Source organism: Homo sapiens, chromosome 5 (assembly GCF_000001405.40).
Source record: "Homo sapiens chromosome 5, GRCh38.p14 Primary Assembly".
Classification (NCBI taxonomy): domain Eukaryota; kingdom Metazoa; phylum Chordata; class Mammalia; order Primates; family Hominidae; genus Homo; species Homo sapiens.
Genome location: NC_000005.10, coordinates 159050803 through 159073901, shown reverse-complemented (window position 1 = coordinate 159073901; position 23099 = coordinate 159050803). Strand labels below are relative to the sequence as shown.

Below are 23099 nucleotides of genomic sequence, written 5' to 3'. Positions count from 1 at the left end.
GACTGGAGGGGGAGAAATCACTCATACCTCATTATTGATGCGTTCCACACAATTAGTGTGATCTTGAGGGAAGAACGTTTGAGCCACCCACAACCTTGAATATTCTCATTGGGTAGATGCAATAACAGTGCACTTCACAGTGAACTCTGCCAGCACCGCGGGCAGTCATGGGGAGACCCCATCTTGGGGTTCTGAGTCTTGGCTCTGGGAGAGCCCCTCTCCCCCACCTCCTTCTTTGAGCAGGGAGAGGTTAAGCCTGGCCATTAACCCATAGGTGACCCAAATAGAATTATCTGTCCCAGGGATCCGTTGATTGCCAGGTATGGCTTTGTGGTAATTCTAGCATTTGCAACCCAGCAATTTGAGCCTTCTGTCTGCCTAAATGATGATTTTACATTGTAATGGTTGTACTAAATCCTTTCGCTTTTGCTCCATAGCCGCTGTTGTGACAAGAAAAGCTGTGGCAACCGAAATGAGACTCCCTCAGATCCAGTGATAATTGACAGGTAGGGACCACTCTTCTTTCACTGGATTCTTATTCCTCATTATAATGAAACACCTGCCCTTGTGTTGCTCATGGGCGAGGGTTAGGAATGCATGTGGCTGAAATTTGCCTGTTGGTCATGACTTACGCTGTGCTGAGCGATTTTGATTCCTGGGAAAGCCATATGGAATGTTCTTTTAGAGGCCTGTTCCTTGGATTGCTCCGGTTTTTGTCTGATTCATGCTCCTAAAGGAATATATTTTTTCTTTCCTGACTTTCTGTGGCTCAATCCTCATGCTGTGCCAGGAAGCTTCAGAAATAAAATAATAATAGTTTGTGATTTATGAAATGTGGTTGGGTGCTTATAAATATTTAACTTTTATTTGAAAAATGTTTGAATCATTATCACTTTTAGCTACAGTAGTTCTGTTGGACGTAATCCATCTACACTTTAAGGTTTTATTTATGCATAAAAGCAGTTTAAAGAGATCTGTGAACCAAGATTTTCTACTGTTATTTGCCGGATTTGATTGCAGTATGAGACCATATTGTAAGTTGATTAATTTATCCTGCTTGTCTTAATTTTTGTGTTTTTAAACAGATCCATATTACTAATCTGACATGACCAAGTAAATCACCGTAGAACAATAAATCTGTTTTAGTTGTTCGGTGTAATTTTGAGTCAGTGTGCACGCATTATGCAAAGTCGCATTCCAAATATTCATTTTACATTTTAATTATTGAAATTCATTGTATGGAAACATGTATGATAAACCATTTGTTACATAGCATTACTCATTGAGAGTTAAATGGCCTGGAAGGTTTATAGATACTGTCAATTGTCAGCTAGGAAAAGAGCTAGCATCTTGTACTAGCTGGAAAAAGAGTCTTGCCAATAAGACTGACCGATCCCTCATTGAGGAAACCAATGGTTGAACACAAGTCCCTTTTTGGGTTTCAGCAATATTGATTTTTGACAACAACAACAAAAGAAAAAAAAACCCATCTTTCTTTCTACCTTTTTTGGGCTTGTTTTATCATTTTTCAGTTAACAATGACAACAACAAAAAACAAGATGTTTACTTCGCTTCAACATAATTTATGCCAAAAGATCGATTGTTGATTTTGACTTATGTGAGTCTTCAGGCATAAACCCAATTGATTGCCAAGAAGCTTTATAAAGGTTACATTTCAATCAGATATTTTAACTAAATATTCCTCACTAGTATTCACTAAAATATATATATTTTTGCTCCATATAAGAGTATTAGTATATTTGATTCAAAGTTAAAAGATGAGAAAGTTTGACATATGGTGATGTGTGTGCTACCTATAGAATTAGGATAACATGTTTATCTACAAAAGCAGATATACTGTTCATATAGTTGCTTTTTCTGTGATTGAACATAAGTCTCCAAATGAATAAGGTCACAAGTAAATTTAACCTTTATGCTGGTTTGTTTTATTTAAATTTACCTCTCCAAAATATCATTTGTTATTTTAAGCATTTTTCTTCCTCCTCTGTTGAAAAGAAAGTGTACGGATCAAAGGACCAGCCCAAATAGTCCCCAAAACTTTGAAACTATAAGCATTTTGTTCTGCCATGTAGTTCCTTTTGGTTTAGATGATGACAAGAACCTTACCTTGCCACCCTCAATGAAAAGACTTTTTTTTTTTTTTCGCTTGTGAATGGGTTAAGCTTTTAAGTTCTTCGTTTGGTTTGAAGCTGTGACTCTGATATAGAAGGTTGATATGACTGTGGTTTGAATAACATTTGATTTTGACCTGTTCCTGTGGGTTGCGATGGCATAAGAAACTTGACTCAGCAGCACTGTAATTAGCCCGGCCCCTGTTTTTGAAACAGGATTGTGTTACCTGGATTGCATTAGTGTGGCTTCTATTGTTGCCGCTTTGCATCTGTCCCAGAAGGGTACTTAAAACCTTTTCTTGGCTGGGGTAGTTCAAACAATTTAGGCAAAATAAGTATGCACTTTATGCTGTTGGTGGCTTTGGGGATATTACTCATGACATTTATCCTTTTCATTTTTTTTCCCTTTTGGTTTGACAAAGTAGAAAACAGTGTGTAGCCAATCTTGGTCTCTTCAGATAGGAGTACTTTAAAAACAGCTGAAACTCAGTGTATGTGCACAAGCCCCACAGCATATGTTTATTCGCTGGCTGTTGCCATTGTTTCTGATGAACTATCTTTTCATGCAGTGATGCCAGTTGATATGCAAAACCCCATTTAGCTATTTTTATTTGCACCTGAGTTTTCAGAATTTATTTGTCCTTCAGGCTGCCAAAGGTTTTAAAAGCTCCAGTCCTGTCTGTGCTGATATGTGAAACTCCCATTCTTAACAGCGAGAGAAGAGAATAACAACAAGAGAAGAACTTATGCAAGAAAGGGCAAAATAGAAAAGATTTTTCAATTCCATAAAATTGCTGCAAAGGGGAAAAAATGATGGCAACCGTGTTTGAATTTCATAGTTTCCAATTTGATTCTATATTACTGATTGCATAATATCTGTGTTACGTGCTTAGGGTTTGATTTGCTTTCAGATTTATGGATGCAAATCCCTGAATATTTTGTGAAAATAGGCTATGAGGCCTGCATTCAGTAGCAATAGTAACTGTTTTCAAAAGATGCATACAATATGCAATTACAGAGCTGAGGGTACAGGCCATCCTTGCGTTAGGATTTAGCATAGTTTTAACACGCAGTCAACTTTTGAGCACCAATAATTTTTAGCTCTCTTTGCTTGTCCTTCGGAATTTGGGAGAACACTACTATTTTTATCAGTCAAAAGACTTTTAGCAGTGGTTTATTCAGGAAAACTATTTATAGGGTAGAGAGAAGAGACTTTCTGGTCATAGTGCAATCGTGCAGGGCAAGCTATTTCTGTGTTAAATTTTGGCTGTATTATTTGCTGCCACTGACTTTGGGACATCAGCCTGGCATATTCTATCAAAAAAGTAGAATTAACAAAATCAGCAGTTGCAAACTGTGATTTAGAAAAGGGGCTTCTATTATACTTCATCCTTATGGCATGCACAGACTGAGAAACATATGACCCCAATTCTTTTTACAATCATGACAATTTGTCAAGTCACTTCAAAAAAGTTTATAGAAAAATTGCTGTAAATGCAGGAAGTGCACATCTGGAGTTGAATGCCAGGTTACATTTCTGTGTGGTGCCAAATAGCTTGATTAAGAAGCACATAACCCAGCCTGCACTCAGTGATCCAGATATTTGAGCTGCATAGACATGGGAAAAGTCAAATGTGTTATGTTTAATAGCAAATAACCAGGAACTGATAACAGCAGATTTCATTATTTTTGAGGTAAAGGGCTATGTGTGGTAATTATTGTTAAAGTAAAAAGCAAAAAATGACTTCCAGTTATTGAATTAAGGTGGAGATTGATTTTACATATTGACACAGTAACTAATATTTGAATTTAAAAGGTTTGCAATAAACTTCATGTTTAGAAATTGAATAAATAGGAGTTTTATTACCACATTGGATATCCTTGTGTCCTAACCTTTTTCCTTGGAGTTATCTTAGTTCAATAAATAAAACCTCATTAGACTATTCCCATTTCAACGAGTTTATTAAATTTTGCAGGAGTAATTAGCATAAGCTGTGCTAATTTTTCTGGAAGACTAATGAGGGAGGTTCTTAATTAGGTTTACTTTGTAAGAATCAGAAAAGATGATAATGACAAAAGTCACATAGGGTAGTCTGAATTGGGAACCCAGTTTTTCTGCATCTATTAAAAAATCTTTCTATATGGAAACTTTTTAATAAATGTCGGAACTGAATATATTAAGTATGCAGACTGTTATTCCATATCTGGTTAGGATGACCATTCATTCTTAATTTGCTTCCCCAAACTCTTTATTTTCCTAAACTATCTTTGAGCAATGACATGGATGAATACAGATGGTCTTATAAAAACATTTCTTTCTCCAAAGTATGCTGGAGGCTTCTTTTCACACAGACTCCTGAAGTTTCTGGCTAGATTTCTGTTGCTTATTTGCAGTGGGGTGGGATAGGGGGCAGCTTAATGTTTGTTTGTTTGTTTGTTTGTTTGAATTTAGAATTAGTGCAATTGATGAAATGAACCATTAAGTAAGGGTGACAATGTGAGCATCATTCCTTGTGCAATGAATCCTTATCTGTTAACAAGTGGATTTTTTTTTTAGTAGATAGAAATACTAAAGGATGAAATTCCATCTCAAATTATGTTCTCCTATTGGTGTGAATTTAGACCTAGTTTTTTAAGGATATAATGTAGCTCCAGTAACCTAAAAGTTTTGGGTTCCTCAAAGCCGATATTTAAAACTTGGATGTTAAAAGCTTGTCAACTTATGTACCTGTAAGAATTTTGAGTTTGTTTATTGTAATATTAACAGAATTACCATGCCTTTTTCCCCCATTTTTAAGAATTCCTGTATCTATGTGTATGGCTATGGGATGTAGGCCTTGACATGTGACATAAAAAAAATACACAAATTTTGTAAAATGAAAAACCTAGTCTGTTTGGAATTACTTCGGGTCACACTTACGCAAGGGTCTCCTATAAAGGAAAAAAATGCCTGTATTTCTTTTTTCCAGATTTGTCTAAAGATCTTCCACATCTAGATCACTTCCATTTAGGTAACACGAATTGGGTTTGTTTTATGATTATCTGAAATAGAATGTTCAGTAATGAAAATATTAGAATGCCCATTTGCCTGTTGATTTTATATGATGTACATCATATGAACGGAAAAGCTTAACCATGTTATGGTTGCTCAGATAAACAAGTTTATTGAAGACTCATTCTTTTTCTAAGAGGTGTAAATTCTGTGGTAAGACTTTTCAGAAAAGTGCAGTGTTGCCTTATCACCAAGCTAATTTTCTTCATTAAATTGACACCAATGTATTTATATAACATATATGCCCATATGTATAATAGGAAAACAATATAAAAACTTTAGAGTTAGGAGAGATCTATCTATCTAACCATCCATCCATCCATCCATCCATCCATCCATCCATCCACCCACCCACATACTTTTTACCATTGGGTCGGGTGTGGTATGTATTTGCCAAGGATTGTAAAGGCATCTGGGCCTTTCAACAATCAATGGCTTTCCTCTGTCTTTTATAATCAGAGGTAAATTCCAATATTTATTTATTTTTTGTCATCCACATAAAGTCCTCAATTAACATGAACATAAATATATAATTTTATTAAAGTTGCAAATGAGGCTTTTAGTTAGTTTCATGATTTCATTTCAATGCCCTTTCAACTCTTCTTATTTTGGTCTTCATCCAGTTTTTAGAAGGACCAACCACCACCAATGCATAATCATTCTGCACTATACACAAATGGCTGTGTGGGGTATGAAGAACCAGAGGTGTAAATGCATTTCTCAGCGTTCCGATAAACCTTTTATACCACCTGATTTGTAACCTTGACTGCTTGGTTAAAATAAAAGGAGGAGGAATTCACTCTCTAAAATTGCCCTAGGCAGGATAATTATTGTGTTTTTGGTTGGTTTGAGAGGTTTGCATTTTTTCAAAAGTGAAAAGCCAGCATTGACACTGAGCATGAATTTAAGACTGTTTATTAACCTTAGTGTGTTTAAACATTTGTCTTCTCAGTGGGAATTCATATGTGATTATTAGCGATGAGACTTATGTGAATGAGTATCATTCTAAATTTTATCACATATCAGATAATACCATTCTGAATATGAGATGAGCCCCGTACATTTGTGTGCAGTTTGCTACCGTGATAAGAAAATAACTAATACAATAAGCTAATCGCAGTCTATATTCCATTTGCTATCAGCTATTCCCAAATACACAACCAGGATGCATTAAAATGCATTTCGAATACGCTGACAATGTATCATAATGCAAAGTACTTTTACATGGTATAATACTATTGCAGACACTGTATAATGAACAACAGTGGTTTTCCTGTAAAGGAAATAATGGCAGCAACTTCCAAGAAATGTATTTAACGGAGCTTCAGAGAATCAGTAGTGTGTATGTGTAGCATGGCCCGGGTATCAGCCCGTGGTGTAGGTTTTTAATCCCATGTCATCATAACTTTGCTTTTGTAACAGTTCTGGAAAAATACAGAAAAGCAGTACGAAGTCCTCTGTGTGTCCCATTAGTAACTATGCACAATCATTTTGTAATGAGAATATATGAGTATATTAAACATGCTTTTACTTTCCTAAAAGAAGTTGCTTAGAATGGGGGGAAAAACTCTCTCCAAGTGTAACTCTCCATTGATAAATTCCCCTCATTTCCTCATTTCCCTCTCCTGCCAGCACCCGGTTAACTCTCTAATAAAAATTGACCAGATTTAAAAAACTCCATTTAGTGGTTCCTGCGTAAAGAGATGGTATTTTGGTCACTTTAATTTGCATGAGATGTTATCTGAAATCGACCACTAATTCTTCCTTCTCACAGCCCCCCATCCCATTCCTCTCTTTACAAACCGCGTAACTACATACTATCCAGGACAATATAAAAGTGACCTCAATACTCCTATTGCAATCAATGAAATATGGTGAACAGTACAGGTTTGTCTTTCATTGCTCCCTGCCTTGAAAGGTGTGGGTAGAGGAAGAAAAATCTCCCTTACAAACTATTTCTCCAGTTACAAGTCTTTGTCCAGAAGCAAAAGAAGGTTTTAACGTTACAGTACTTATTCTAATAGAATTTTAATTGCCCTAATCCTGCTAAAGTGTGAAGCTGAGTGTGTGTGTGTGTGTGTGTGTGTCTGTGCATGTATTCCTAATAGGGAGGGGAGTCATGCAAAAAAAAAAAATCTTTGTTACATTTTTCATGGGTGGGGCAGGGGGTGTCACATATGTTAAATGATGCAAACTTAATTAAACTGATTCTGGGGAAGGACAGGCCATTGGCGTTCCATCTATGAAATGTGTACTCCACTTTCGGTGGGAACAGAGTGGTCTTCTGTGTGCTTTGGGAATTTCTATTTTTGAAAGTGAAGTGCTTGGTTCCAGTTGCAAACATGCCCTAAACCCTACTTGTCATGACTGAGCTAGACATGCTGGCAAATTATATAGATTGATCCTACACAATAACCTCCAAAATGGCACTTGGTAACTATACCATCCTGCTAACTGTTTGAGGCACAATAGTTTTGTAATATAATATAAAGTAATGGTGTTAGCCAACACATCTTTAATAAGATATTGTTCGTGCCTTTGCCATATGCTACAGAGCAGCCTCTCACTCGGTGGGCCTTTTGATTCCTCTCAATAAGATTATTTCAAATACTCTAATCCTGAATCATTGACATGAATACAAAAGCCTAGTGACATCTAATAGATGCCTCTTAGCTTTGCTTTTCCTCTTGTTCCTTTCCTTTTTCTTCTCTTTTTACCTGACAAAAAGCTCATAGACACTTGGGCTCTGTCTCTCAGTAGCAGCATGGGGGGCTCCTCATGAAATATAAAGGGGGAAAAAGGACTGACAGAGGCCCGATAAGCTACAGAGTGAAGGGCCATAGATTAAAAGTAAATGCCAGTAAATCCTACCCTGTACACTCACTTGTTCTTTTATTGTTTTCTTTAACACTTTCAGAGCCAGGGCAGGGAAAAAACCAGAAAATAGTAATCAAGCTGCCCATGTACATTTTTAATCTGGACACTGTCACTATTATACATATTTTATGGGGCTTTGGCGACATTCTCAAATTTTGGTTCATGTAAAGGTTGTGGTGGGTTTTTTTTTTAATGTCCTTTTAATCAATATCAAGAATCCCTCAAGAACTTTTTTGCTCATTTGCTGCTCAATTAACTTAATATTGATACCATGTGTGGGTAGGAAGAGCCCTTCTGTAGGGTGTGAACACTGGGGCTCAGGACATGACATCTTCAAGGCTGAAATAACTTTTTTTCTTTTCTTTTTTAATTGATGAATTGAAAATTATCAAAGTAAAATGATAGGGTATTTTGTTTCATGACATCAGCTGCTGCTTTTTGATGTGGTGCTGCTCCCCGCCAGTGCCGTGAATTCTCCGCCTTTGCCGGGTGGTGCACGCGACTTAGACTCTGCTGGTGCATGCCGAGGAGTCAGGAGCCCAGCTGGGTAACTTTTCTAATGGTCAAAAGGTTGTTCCCTCCTCCACCTTCCTGAAGCAACCATGATTTGACTAAAGCTCTTTATTACTCCACCTGAATATCAGACAGTCATGCTGCTTGCAATTTATTTATTGTTTTCCAGAGGTAAACTACTGAGATTTTCCCCACCTGTTTTTAATGTGCTTCTCGTTCATAAGTATTCTGATCTGTTAGTAATATCTGAAAATATCACTTTTAACACTCTTGGGTGCACTATTGGCTGAAGCCCCCTCACAGAATGGAAAGTTAATTTGAAGAACTATGGACCTGCATCAGGTTTAGCTACACACACCACACACATACGCACATACACACACGCACATACTCTACAGAGACCAAAAAAAAAAAAAAAAAAAAAAAAAGATGAAAAGAGAGCAGTCTCTTTTTCATTTTTTAAAAAGTTCTTTAGAAAAGAAAGTTGGTTAAGGGTTCACCTGGTTATCTTTGAAGCTGTTACCAACAGTTGAAAACCCATGTTTCTCTACACAGTCTTGTTGTTTTCCTAAAGCCAGATTCTAATGTTAGATATATGGGATATGTCTCAGAATATGGTTTTAAACACTGAGTTGTTCTTCCTGTAGCTGTAGAAATGGGAGTGCCCTGATCTGGCTCGTGAAGACCAGCATCTGAATCCTGGTCTATGAGCACCTTAAAACAAAGCAAGCAAAACCCCTGATCACTGTGAGTTTAATAGTAGCTTACACCTAAATGGCACTTCCAGCGTTTTAGAGCACGTCGGGGTATACCATCTCAGAAAATTCTCTTTGCACAAATTGACTCCATTTGACAGATCTGTAAACTGAGGCACACAGCCTAAGGAACTATCCACTTTATTGGTGACAAAGCAAGTGATTAGAAACTCCACATCTCCTATCTCCCAGACTGATTTTTTTCCCTTTTCTCAATTGCTCAGCTAAAAACACTGTTTTCAGTATTTCATAATGTCTCTTTTATTTCATTTTTCTTGCTATCCACAGCACATTTTCATGTATTACTCTAAACCTATTTACCAAGCCAGCTTTCTTAGTTGATGTCACAATTAACTTTCAGGATTTTATATGTATATATACACACACATATATATAAACACATATATATACACACACATATATGCATATATACATATGTGACACTGTTTATTGTACTCATTGCTGGAGCAATGTTTGAGTTCTTATGTCCTCATTTAATTTGATTGTGTATTTGCTTGAAAAAAACATCAGTAATCCATACAGAAATCTGGGAGAAGGCACAGTATGATGGCAAAGGCATAGATTTTGGAGTGCATTGGCTAAGGGATCCAGTTCCTCCACAGCTACTTATTAGTAGCTGAGCCTCAGGGGGCTCAGTTTTCTCATCTTCAAAATGGGAAAAGTCACTTCTATTTTGAAGCGTTGTGAGGATTGAAACACCTAGCACTGGGCTTGGCACATAACAGGTGCTTAAAATCAGGTAGCTCTTGCAATTTGAGCATCGTATATTCCATGTGGATTTTCATTCTTAATGTGATCATTGCCATGGGACTTCCTTTGAGCACAATTACCTTACTGAAGTTAATCATGGTAGCTAAGTCTCCTTAGATAAAGACTCATTCATTGTTTTGTTTCCACAAATATTTATTAAGCCTCTATTATATGTCATGCACTGTTTTCAGGGTTGGGGGTATAACAGTGAAAAAGACAAACATAGTTCCTGGCTTCATGCAGCTTTCTCAGTGTCTCAGGGTTGATCTCTGCCCCCAGTCCCCCAAAAATAGTTGGAATAGTAATAGCAAGTATAAACAAAGAATATATTGATATATATGTTTTAAAAATAGAAGAATGCCATTTTACACTGGGATCATGATGCAGAAGAAAAATATCCCCGGGTTAAAGTCACCTTTTAGCTCATACCCAGAGGTATCGAACTTGGGCAAATTCCACGGCTTTATTGCACTCTTCTGAGGCAGTCTACATGTTGGTTAAGACTGAAGGAAGAGATCTCTAAGACCCTTTCCAACTATGGAATTCTAATTTTAGCTGTTTGTGGTATTGCTGAGCACAGGCAGGTAGATGAGCGCTTTGGAGGGTAGGTTGTAAGCCTAAGAGGGCAGTGACTACGTTGAGCACAGTGCCTCCCTCCTGTGTACTAGATGCTTAGGGCTTGTTTTTGTGAAAAGAAGGAATGACAGGAACTAGAAATGCAGTTGTTGAATCTGGTGGTCTCATCTCTCTGTCTAAAGACAAGCTTGTTATAACTACACAATAAAGTGAAATGGCACTGCCATTAAAGAATGATGAGGAACAGAAAATGTAAGATAAAATATTAAATTTGTTACACTTAAAAATGTTAATCTTCACACGATTACCATGCAAATCTCCTCATTGCCTAACTGTTTAATTGATCAAGTAAATCACAGAGCAGACAAGTGAAAATCTCTGCTGTTGACATTCTCACAAAGCATATTTTCAAGAATATATTCTATTAACTATGTGTATTACACATGATAATGGGAATTTCTTATTTTGTAAAAACATATATATGTGGCATCCTTTGCAAACCACCAGATTTCAGAGAGTTTGGGAGAAGGCTTGATTTTTGCAGGGCAAAAATTCAGCCATCCTCTATTATGTCAAACGCGAAATCAGTGTTAGAAAGACCCCTGTGCAAGCAGCGCCTTTGTTTTATATACTATTAGAAGACTTCAGAATTCACCAGTTTTTCTTTCAGGCAGGTATAGCATTGACCTGATACTCTGGAGATTGAAGGGTTAATGAATTCTCTTTCCCTCCCTCCCCCTCCCCAATCTTCCTGTCCCCCACCCCCAATCCCATCATGTGCCTGGTTGACTCTGAAAGAAGGGGCTTGAAGTTACCCACAGGGCATCCCTTTCCCCAGCCTTCTCCAAGGCCACCTGGGCAGACGGGAGCTTGCCTTCTGTCCTTAGGACACAAAATCCAATCAGGCGCCTGGCCTGCTAGTCTCTCTGACCTGCGAGCTGGGAAGAGGGAGGAGAAGCAGAGGCCCTCACATTTGATAGGCTGCATCTTTGTGGCTTTAGGGGGCTCCTGTGTCTACTCGAGGAAGGAAGTTCTCCCTTATTTTAAGATAAGGTGTCATTCATGAGAGCAATGTGCTGAACTAATCAGGTTAATTGAGAGGCCGTGAGTCGTCCTCATTGAGCCCATCTCTTCTTCCTGTTAAAGGCAGATAGCGCAGACAGACAGATTACACATATTTTAGTTTTTTCCCAAAAGCTTATGAAATAATGTAGGCAGGCAGGGAACGTAGGTTCAGCTGAATGTCATTCAGGCTATTTGAACATGGATTCTTATTGTAGAACAATGTAGCATTCAAAAAATAATAAAAGAATAAGCTCTCCTCAAGATTGAAAGATGAGTGTCTCTGAATGTCTGATACACTCTTTTTTTTCTTAATATTATATTAAACTAACCTCAGCATTTCAGATCAACTAGGAAAGAATGTTTGTTGAAGAGTCCAGTTAGATTCCTCCGCGGCTATTTTATTTAGGATTGAAACGTAAAAAAAAAAAAAACAAAACAATCTCATTGTGATGTGTCATCAGTGACAAGTAGCTTCTTGAGCCATGTTTCGATTCTTCGGCTTCCGAGCCGGACACTGGGGGCCGTCGCCCTGACTAATCGCATCTCGGACCTCCCTCTGGAGCAGCCGAGTGGGGAAGAAAACAGAGCTGTTTCAACTGAATTCCATAAAGGGCGGGGGCTCCTCCTCCCTCTTCTCCACTCAAAATGATTTGTCATAGTTTAATTTTAAACACTATCATTGACTATTCTTTCTTTCTACCCCACCTCTTTCCACCTTTTTTTTTTTCTTGGAAGTTCCAGGAATGACTTTAATTATCTCCACAATCAAATTCTCGTTGCTGCCTCTGTGAAAGTGTGCAGTCATAGATGGCAGGGATTATTTTCTTTAGCACTTGGGGATACAGAAACCGGTTGTTTCAAAATGAGAACCAGCTGGTTCCACAGAGCCCTTATTTAATGGGGAGCCACTTTGTACACAAAGCCTTTGCTCAGGTCAGTCATTATGGCAAACCCCAAATCAGCAGTGTTTTGTCTATCACCCTGTATTAAATGTCGAGCGAGGAGTGATTTAGCAGATATGATAATAATAATAATAATAATTAAGAAATACCCAGCACACCCTGCATCTTTAATTTTGCCTCAACTAAACACTCCGGTTTGGAAGGAACATTTCTCAAACTTCTTCCTACAGTGATTACAATCATAGACCTAGTTTACCACTGCTCTCTCATAGATGGCTGAGGGGTATGTGTGTGTGTGTGTGTGTGTGTGTGTGTGTGTGTGTGTATGTAGCTTTAACCCTCTCTAAATCTAGAAAATAAAATTAAGCTCATCTTTCAACATAATCTTTTATCTGACAAGCACAGTAGATAGATGAAAGGTAGATAGCCAAGTTGTGGGTCCCCTTAATAGAACCAATTGGAGGGCAGAGATAACTGCTATTATCAAACATCTTTTATGCCATCCTGTAAAATAAGGACGAGGGTGATATACCATATATATTTTGCTGTCTTTCTAGCTTGTAGAAATTGGTTTGTTGTCATACCCTGTTAATCTCTAACAGCACTAAATTCAATTTGAAATGAGGAGAGTACTTTCACTATTTGACTGTACAAAATACTTTTGAAGCATGCAAAAAGAAAAAAAAAGGATAAAAGACACGTAAAACCACAATAGATATTCGGTTATGAGAATAGTTTGTTTTTAGAACCTAGGTTGCATTTTTCTAAGGTGAATAGTTTTGGAGGATGCAGTATTTATTCAATCAGGAATTGAAGAATTAAAAAATAGCAACTTTACATAGATTTTTAAAAATCTAGTTTAACCAAATTTTATCTTTCAAATATGAGAAATTATTTTGCATTACTAATAAGAATATGTGGCTTTTAAAAATTATGACATGCTTTTTTTACATTGATAGCAACACAACAAAATACTTTGAAGAAAGGATAACGATTTAAAAATTTATTCTCACAGGGAGTTTCATTAAGCTGAGCACTGGTATATATGTTTTTAATTATTTTTATTTTTAGGATTTCCATATTGAAGTATGGTTTGGGTAAAATCTTATCAAATTATTTTGTTTGTTTACTAAGTACTTTGATTGTATAATGTCTCTAGTTCAAACTGTAATTCTATTTTATATTTTCTGTATTTGTATTTTTAAAAAATTCTGTTGATTTTTTAATATAAAAAACAAATGACTGTTATATTTCTAGTCACTCAAATTTGAACTGAATTTTACTTCCTGTTTCAAAGGTCAAGGCAGGCTGACCTCAACAGCAGTGTGGAGGCTGCTGAATTATTCATATCATTGACTTTGTGTCAGCTTCCACATTTGTGGAGAGGGATGTTTTATTCATTTATCTCATTTAGGGTTCTTCTCTGCACCTGTTTCTACCATTAAGTACCCTGTAATTTGCATTTGATGCTAATTTAGTTTCATATCAGCCTGGTCCCCCCTTGTTAATTTAATTTTCTAAGACCCTTTTCATTACAGTAGAACTGTTTTCCTCTTTAAAGCAAACATCTATACAAGTAATTGTATAAACTGCCTTTTAAATAATATCTTTTAGAAGATTCCATCGTTTAATTCCTTAATTCCTATAATTAGCCATGGTTTGATTAATGTTTCAAAGGGTTAAATTAAAATGCAGAATTACTCAAATGCATACTGGAATAATTTCTTATATACAGCAGAGTTAGCGTTGTGGTGTTCTTCCTGAGAATTCTCAGACAGTATGTCTTAACAGCAGTCATTTTCTTTATTTAGAGTGCTGTTTAGTTTACTAATAGTGATTCTTTCAAAATCACTGTGCACTCAACATTACTCGTGAAATGTTAGTTTTTTTTTTTTCATCAAATTGTTGATAGACAGTGGCTTAAAAATGTTTCTGCAACATTGATAATGACATACCCAAAATAATCAGGGCAGAATTAGGTCCAATTCCTTGATCTATCCTGGAAGTTTGGTATAATGAATTTCAGGAAACTCTGTTATATTATATGTCTGTTTCTCTTCTTACCAGCTCTTTTATTTCTGTCTGCTGCTCAGGGTAGATTGCCTGGAAATTTGTCAGCTTTCCAGACATGGTTTTAGCCAGCTTTGGTTTGTATCTACGGACACCCGTTGGGCTACAGTTGCCACCTACATATTGTAGAAATTAGGAGTAAGTTGTTTGAGGAGGCCTGATTGAAATGGTGGCTACATGGCAGAAGTGGCCATGTCCCTGGAATGTCTGTCAAGGATTTGGGGGTTATGAGAACATGCTACTCATATAAACCAGGTCCATAGCCCCTCTGACTGTTCAGAAAAGAATTCTAGCTCAGTCCTTTTCTTGGAACTGTTTGGAGGGTGTTTGACATGAATGGCCTTATGGAATCTGTTGGTAGTGGGAATTCAAAACAAGGGTATGAATTACGAATTCAAGCACTAAGATACGTGAAAATTAAACAGAAGGGAAGTGGCTGCAGCTGAATATTACTAAGAAATTAGCCCAAACTCTACAGATCCTTCTTCCACTAGGTTGGATTAGTTTGATCTGTTGTTCATATTCTCTGGGAAAACCAAATGAGGCAGTTCCTTTGGGTTTCCGGAAAGATCTCAGGTCTATTGGAACTGGAGTTTGAAGGTGGCTTTTCCTTTTCTTTCAGTTATAAATGATTCCTGGGGACTCCCACACACAACTTTGTCATTGTGGAAATGTGAAAGGGTATCTCCAGATTTTCTAGCAGACAGCTTCATTTGTCTGGTTGCAAGGTAGGGCTGGGGGTGGACTGGACAATTCCCCAGGGTCCCCTTCAGCTGAGAACTTCCCTGGACCTACCAGTGACTTTTTCACGTCCTACAGCTTATTAAGCTAGCTCTGTGCTTCTGCTGATGGTCCTAAAGCAAAGTGAGAGCTTTCAGGAATGAAATACAGGATCTTTATTCATTAACAAAACATTTTCTTACTCATTCTCCCTCCTACATCCCCCTCCTCCAGGTTTAGATATTCTTTTTAGTTTGGACAAGTCTGTAAGCTCCAATAGAAAAGCCTCCTTGAGGTCTGATTAAACGGCTGGGTTTAAAAACAATAAAGACTATCTGCAGAGCTCATGAGAATGCAGGAAAGGTTTTCCCACCCAATTCTGGCTGATGCTTGGAATTCCACTGTCAGAATCTCATCCCTTTAGCTAAGAACCTTCAATGTATACCAAGACATACAAAACTTAGGGAAGGCTAGCACTTTAATTCTATCATTCACATACCTCTTCGAGGGAATGACATAAAGATCTCACATGGGTTCAGCTCTTTTTAGTTTTCATGACAACACAGTGAGGTAAGCAGGATTTTTTTGTATCATTTCACAAATATGGAGAATGAATAGCTTAAGAACGCTAATACATAGCCTAGCTAGATCCCAAAGGCAGGTTTTCCAAAAAATCTAGATTCCTGTAGGAAGAGACCACGATTCCATTTAAGCTGAGTGGACTCTCAGAGATTACAGTTCAGCCCCTTCATTTTAAAGATGAGAAAGCTGAGGCCAAGAGAAGCACAGCAATGTTGCCCAAAGACCTAATTAGTCTCAGAGCCAGGACCATAAGCCAAGTCCCTGGCTCTGGTTCCAGTGGCTTTTCTACTACTACTCTGGGCCATCTGGGTCCTGCTCTGCTCTCCATTTCACCTTGTGTGCAATCAGCCTTAGGGAAGGGTACAACGTGTCTTTTCTGGGTTTGGGTCCAAGGAAGCCCCTAAGTCCTGTATCTCTAACAAGGCCTAGCATTGTGCACGGAGCACAAGTTAAATTGTTTCTCAGAAATTATAACAGTCCGTCAGGCGCGGTGGCTCATGCTTAGTAATCCCAGCACTTTTGGAGGCTGAGGCAGGTGGATCACCTGAGATTAGGAGTTCGAGACCAGCCTGGCCAAAATGGCAAAACCTCGTCTCTACTAAAAATACAAAAATGAGCTTGGTATGATGGCACATGCCTGTAATCTCAGCTACTCAGGAGGCTGAGGCAGGAGAATCACTTGAACCCAGGAGGCGGAGGTTGCAGTGAGCCAAGATGGTGCCATTGCACTTCAGCCTGGGTGACAGAGTGAGACTCCATCTCAAAAAAAAAAAAAAAAAAAAGAAAAGAAAAGAAAAGAAAGAAATTATAACAGTCACAGGGAGGAGGAAGCTACAGAATATCCCATCATAAAATATTACTTTATTTTTAAAAGCCCACATATTTCATTTATTTGCAACTGTGCTTGTTCATACTATGTCATATAACACCGTGCGACAAATTGCAATTTTTGTTTTTGTTTGCCAGAGGTATTTCATCAATAGTCATCTTTCAGTAGGAATTTTACAAAAGGTCTTTCTATTCCAGATGTCTTACCATGAGCAGTTGTCTCTGACTATTATCTTTCTCTGGAAGGTACTGACATACATAAATATTGACGTTGGCAATTTTCAAAGTAAGTCTTAATAAAATTTTTCTTTTATTTAAACCTAAACAAATTGAAAGTACCCTTTCCAAAAATAATAATAAAGGAAGTGAGGCATTGTTGCAGAATATAATTCTGAAAAAATTGTAGTGAAAGGGGAAAAAAGTACACTGTATTTCTTCCTACTCAAACCACTTTTGTGTACAGTTTTGCCTAAGCCCGAAGAGGTTTGTCACACATTTGGAATTGCCAAGGAAGGGCAGAAGTCATGGGTATGGTGCTGAGAGAAATTATTAGCCCCTGGCATAGTCTCATGCTGAACTGCAGGAGAATGATTCCAGAAGGCAAAGGGGCATTCATTCGCCTGGTAAGCTAGAGGGAGAGGTGGGGAGTTGGCAGCTTCTGTACTGTTTCAGAGTATGGGGCAAAGGAGGAAGTGACAATTATTTCACCTCTGAATTATTTGACTATCTGGTCTGGCTGAAAAGATTGTGCTGATTTGGAAAAATTTAATTTTTTCCGTCTCCACAGAAATATATGACTGAATGTAGTCAACCAACTAAATCTTTCTTCCCAGTATCAATCCACTAAAATTAATTTTAAAAGGTGGAATTTTGAATTTATGTATACTCTTTTCTTCTCTTTTTCTCTTCCCAAATTGTCATAAATCATTCAACAGGCTGGATTCCTTTCTGCTCCCAAATAGTTTGATACCAGAAGCCAGAAAGGATAATCATGCTAAACCTATTAAAAAATGGTTTCATGTAGGGTTAGTCTCTCCTTTAGAAACCATTGTTTACATTCACAGAGGTGGTGAGGACAAGCAGCTGTTGAGTTCATTGACCTCAGACAGGAGAAACAAAGGACCCAGCATGTTAATTTATTCAATAAATGTTCGTGAAGCATCTACTATATAAAATAAGTTGTACCCCCAATCCCAGATTGGGGACTGCCCCAGAAGCACTTTGTGGTCCTCCCAGGGCACTCACCTATTAAGGAAATTGGATTTGGTGTAGAATCTCTTTCTCTTTTCCAAATCACCACCAAATCCATTGCCATTCATCTTTCTCCTGCCATTACCTGGCCATTCCCAGGGTAAGGTCCCACCTCCAAAAAGAGATTTAAAGTAATTCACTACTCATCAGATTTAGTGTAGGTTAATTCCCTACTATGCTAATAATTTTCATCTTCAAGGTACTAATAGTTCTAATATGAACCCAAATTTGTGCATATTCTTCTGTTAAGGAGAAAGCATGCTTTGGTTCTGTTAAAGGCTCGACACATTAAATTGCTCATTCTGATATGGGACTTCTCATTCATTATGAAATGAGAAGGAACCTCATGTAGAATGCTGAACTGGGACACAGGAGACCTGGTTTTGAGTACTGCCCCTGCTGTTATTTAGATATGTGAGCCTCTGTGTCTGTGTGTCTCTTAACTTCTCTGGATTTCAGCTTTCTTATTTATAGAACGAGAGAAGTAAACACTTAGGATCTTTAAGGTTACCTCTCTCAATGACTTTAATCCTCTCTACCCTTATAAATCTGGTTACCTCTCATATCTGACATTGGACAGTACCTATTATTAAACATGTGCTTAAGTAGCATGTACTATAAGGTAAATAGCAACCTCACAGAGGTCAGAACTGAATAACCAACAATATTCTCAATCAACTTTCAGTTCTTCTTCCTTACCTCATCCAAGGGATCAGCCAGGTAATAAGAAGATAAGGCAGCAGGTACAGCCCATGTCTATTGCTAAAATCTACCTTAAGGCAGGAAGCTAGTGGGTGAGATCTTTAGATGATGCACCTTACAAGGCTAATTGAGTTGTTATATTTAAATTTATTGGTAGCATAACTTGGGCAAGATGGGGAAGGGATCTAGTAAAAAGAAAATTGTAGGCTTGTAAAATGTGAGGCACGTGGACCAACACATTTGTCTCTGTGAGATAGTAACCCCAAAAGGTTGTGGGCAGAGGTTGCCTGTGCAACATCCTCAAGTTGTCTCTTAATCTGGTTGAGACTTGTCTTCCAGATGAAGCAGCCTAATGTTGATATACAGAGAATCTACACTAAGTTGCACATAGTACATGCTCATTAAATAATTGTTCATTTTCTGCATATCCACTTTGTTTCTGTACTTTTAGGGTGTATAATTCCTTTTAAGGCAAATAATGCTGAGCATCTTTGGAATGAAGCTATGAAATTATATGCTCTGCTAATATCCTTTGCTTGTGAGTGACAATACAGTATATATTCCTTAAGCTTGAAGAAATTGGAATTTCATAAAATCTTGAAAAAAATTTTTTTCTATGTGCAGAGGAGACGAGAGAGAGACTGAGAAACAGAAAACTTTGTCCAGGATGGGAACCAGATCTCTCTCTCTATTTTTTAAATTTTAAATTATCCAACCGTTAAATATAAACATTATAATATTTTGACAGGTTTCCAAAGAAATAAAATTGTGAGTCCCATGGATAATGATTTTTCTGAGAATTCCAGGTACAGAATAGGCCCTTTCAGGATTTCCTGTTTTTTTGTTTGCTTTCCTTCGCTTCTTATTTTAGGTCCAATAAACCTTTTACTTTAAGCAGGATCAAGTGTTAAGACAAACCAACTACAGAGCTAATGTATAGAACATTAATTCTATAGAAATGCCCTATAAAAAGCAAAGAAATAAGACTAACTATTAAAAGAAATCCATATGTCTCTGGAATTTTTATTTAAGTTTATATTAGCAATAATGACCTTGGTTCTAGGGAATTCGGTAACGATTAATGACCAGCAAGGGGTCACTGGCCTCATGGTGCTTTGGGCCAGCAACCCCTTCCAAAGAGGACAAGAACTGGCCATTTATCCCAAGGAAGTGCCCTAAGGCGAGGTCCTTATCCTCTTGCCATCTGATGGTAATTTAACCTCAGCTTTTAAAGGGCCCTTAGGAGCAAATATACAATGGGTTGTGCTTTCAGTATTTTAAAGAGTTTATTTTTGCCATGCAATGCCTAATTGGGTATCATTGAAAAGAGTTGTCAAAATAAAGTTGGTAATTATGTTCCTTTTATTCCGGGGTACATATACTCATTTTGTGTCTGCATATCTGCTGGCTTGTATTGGTGTAGTGTGCATCTATGCAGATGCTTATACTCACATTCCCATGTCTGGGGTGTGTGTGTGTGTGTGTGTGTGTGTGTGTGTGAGAGAGAGAGAGAGAGGGAGAGAGGGGTTAAAATACCCAATGCCAGATCAACAGAATAAATAAAACTTGAATGATAGAAACTTCAGTCACATTAGTTTTGCCTGCAAGAATAAATCCCTGTAATATGTAAAATAAGGGGCCAGAGGCAGAGTAAAATTAGTCTTTTCTTGGTTACAGATGACTGGTGTGGCAGTGACTGGCATTGGCGTTTTGCATGTTCTATGTGTTATTGTCATTACTGTAATTACTGATGATAACTAACCATTTATGAAGCCACATATTAGCTGAATTCTGGGTATTCTCTCATTTAATCCTTACAGCAATTCTATGTGCTGAGTATTCTTATTTCTCCCATTTTACAGATGAGGAAACTGGGGCTTCAGTTGGTTAAATAACTTGCCCAACGTCAACATAGCTATTAAGTGGTGGAGCTGGGATGCCAACCTTGCAGTGTCTGACCCCAAAGATCAGGGTTTTAATCATAACACTATTCTGCCTCTATTTAAAAACTAACATTTCCATTTTCTAAGCGCAGCCCTTAATATATTCATTTAGGCAAATTTCCATCCTTTGCTGGCGTAATCGCTATTCCTTTTGTTGGTCATTGCTCCCCTGGGCTTCCTTCAAACATGGTCAGAGGTGCCCCAGACTTTTTAAAGATGGAAGAAAGGCCACATGGCCCTGCATAATTTGACCGAGACAGCTGTGCAGTTGGTTGTCTCATTTAAATTACAACCACAAAAAAGATGTGCCAGGCTTCATTGACACAAAGCTAAGGGCAGGAACACGGAACCGTTTCCTGAACCTGCCCTGGGTTCCTGCCAAAGGTAAGCAGCCACGCTCAGCAGGGTCTCACGGACCACTGAGGAGGCAGTGAGCTTCACTAAAACAATTATCCCTCCCCAGGGCTCTGCCGAAGGTTTGCAGCTCCAAATTCTCATGGTAAAGGATCCGTCCAGTCTCTGAATTCCAGCTTAGAATGGCTGACCTAGGCAGGACAATTCCTCTGAGAGCGAGGGAGAAAAAACAAAAGTGTGGGATTTAAAAGGCTGGTATTGCAAAGGATCATCTTGACAGGCTGTGGCTCAGATTTAGAGAAACCCCGAACTGATTTGCAGAGGACTGAACACCAAACCTTGTAACCACAGAGCAGACTTCGGGGAGGTAGTCATAGGACCTGACAAGCAATCTTTTAATACAGAATCTGGTACAAAGATCCATGTGTGTATTTTTGCTGTGGTTTTTTTTTTTTTTCTATATCTTTTGGAATGGAGTCTAATCGTCCAAAGGATAGTTTTCACGTGTAGTGTTTTTCTCTTTGATTTGAGATAGGAGGTTTTCTGTGGCTGCTAAGCAATACACATATACCTACGTGGCATACAATGTCTTTTTTTTTTGGTGGAATTCTTAGCATGCATATTTTTCTCAGCTAAATGATTTTTAACAGCAGTTATTTAGTTCCTATTGCACCTTTCCAAAATTGCGTTCATGGTAGATACTTCTCAAATAAGGTTTAGTTTTATTAAAATTCTTACGTCTTTCTGAAACAAATATACTAAATCTTCCAGAAGAGCCCATAATAATAATAATTTTTTTGCGTGTGTCTTATGAGCCTGTGCGTATGTGTGCACCACGCAGATTTGTGTACACATTTGTATGTAATACTGTTACAACTATAAATGGCAAAAGAACGTATTTTAAGCCTCTTGGGGTTTCAACAAATTGTGATAAAAGGGTGGTGGTGGCCGAGATGACTTTCTCCCACTCTATTAAGAAAAAGTGCAAAATGAATGAGGGCAAACTGCTGGCTGCGATTGTGATTGTGCACAACTGCAAAGCGGGATCGGCTGGGATGGAGGCCACGGAGCAGGAACACCCCGTGTCTTGCCCCCCCTTCTGAATGCCTCTCAGTAGTGGCATTGTGGGGACTCATGAATTACTTCTTACAGTCGGGGCTCCTTGCTATAAATCCAGCCCTGGTGCCGAGCGCACTGTGGGCAGCGGAGCACCGAGCCGGGCCGGCGGTGTTTGTGTTGTTGTTAGCGACACGTAGCGAGTTCCTCCTAAGCGGAAAGGCCCCGGCTCCAGTTTGTCGCCAGCGAAAGCCGAAACACGAGTCGCACATGTGGAGCGGGAGCCGTCAGCCGCCGGGCGGCGGGGTGGGGGGGTGGGGGGCTGCGGGAGCGGGGGGGAGGGGGAGGGAATGCGGCCCGAGGCGGGGCCTAGCGCTCACCGGGGGATTTGTTTGGGGGGCTGGGGAGGGGAGAGAGGGGACAGGGTGGGAGCAAAGAAAGTAGCCCAAGGGGAACCAGGAAAAGGATGCCTTGACCTCTAAATGTTGTGCCCTCCCCGTGACATCTCACTACTTGTGAGAATATTTGAGAATTAAAATAAAAAAAAAAGGAACCCTTTGTGGTGCGGCTTCAAAATGGTTTTCCTTCCCAGGATATCCTGTGCCTGTCTTTGGGTGAGTTTTTCATAGGTTACTTGGTTAGGAGACTTCTCCTATCCCTTTAAGAGGTAAAAACATAAAAAACAAATGTAAATGTAGGGACTTTAACACTTCCCCCCTTCCTAACATTCGTATAATTGCTGTTAAGCCACACTGAAAACCCTGGGGCCTGGTGTTCACCAGGGTAAAGTTACATTTCACAAGCAGAAAATTGACTCACCACTTAGGAAAATTGGCTACCAATTATGTGTCAAAGGCTCTAAAGTCAGACCTGAGGTTTTCTTTTTGCCAGAATGGGGAATTAAAAAGAGCACAGGCACCCAGCTTTGTACCCACTACTCCCTCCGGGAG

The 23099-nt window shown here is 38.5% G+C and overlaps 1 protein-coding gene across 27 annotated transcripts in view, besides 1 other annotated feature; it reads left to right on the top strand.

The window, feature by feature from the left end:
* Positions 1 to 23099, top strand: part of EBF1 (EBF transcription factor 1) — a 403997-nt gene that overhangs the window by 26015 nt on the left and 354883 nt on the right. For 24 of the 27 annotated variants that reach the window (NM_001324108.2, NM_001324106.2, NM_001324107.2 and 21 more), the window contains exon 6: positions 438 to 506. The exons of 1 other annotated variant lie outside the window; for it this stretch is intronic. In NM_001324108.2, coding sequence (NP_001311037.1) covers positions 438 to 506 — 69 coding nt within the window. Of the gene's footprint in view, positions 1 to 437; positions 507 to 6746; positions 21124 to 23099 lie in introns of those variants that run through there. 2 more of the 27 variants (XM_047416891.1, XM_017009200.3) reach the window with 1 other exon arrangement.
* Positions 13412 to 14790: an enhancer, noted in NCBI's record as "VISTA enhancer hs1022". NCBI's record gives its function as "enhancer in: neural tube[10/11] | hindbrain (rhombencephalon)[10/11] | midbrain (mesencephalon)[9/11] | dorsal root ganglion[8/11] | forebrain[6/11] | trigeminal V (ganglion, cranial)[10/11] | cranial nerve[9/11]" and the evidence as "EXISTENCE:transgenic organism evidence [ECO:0001131][PMID:17130149]".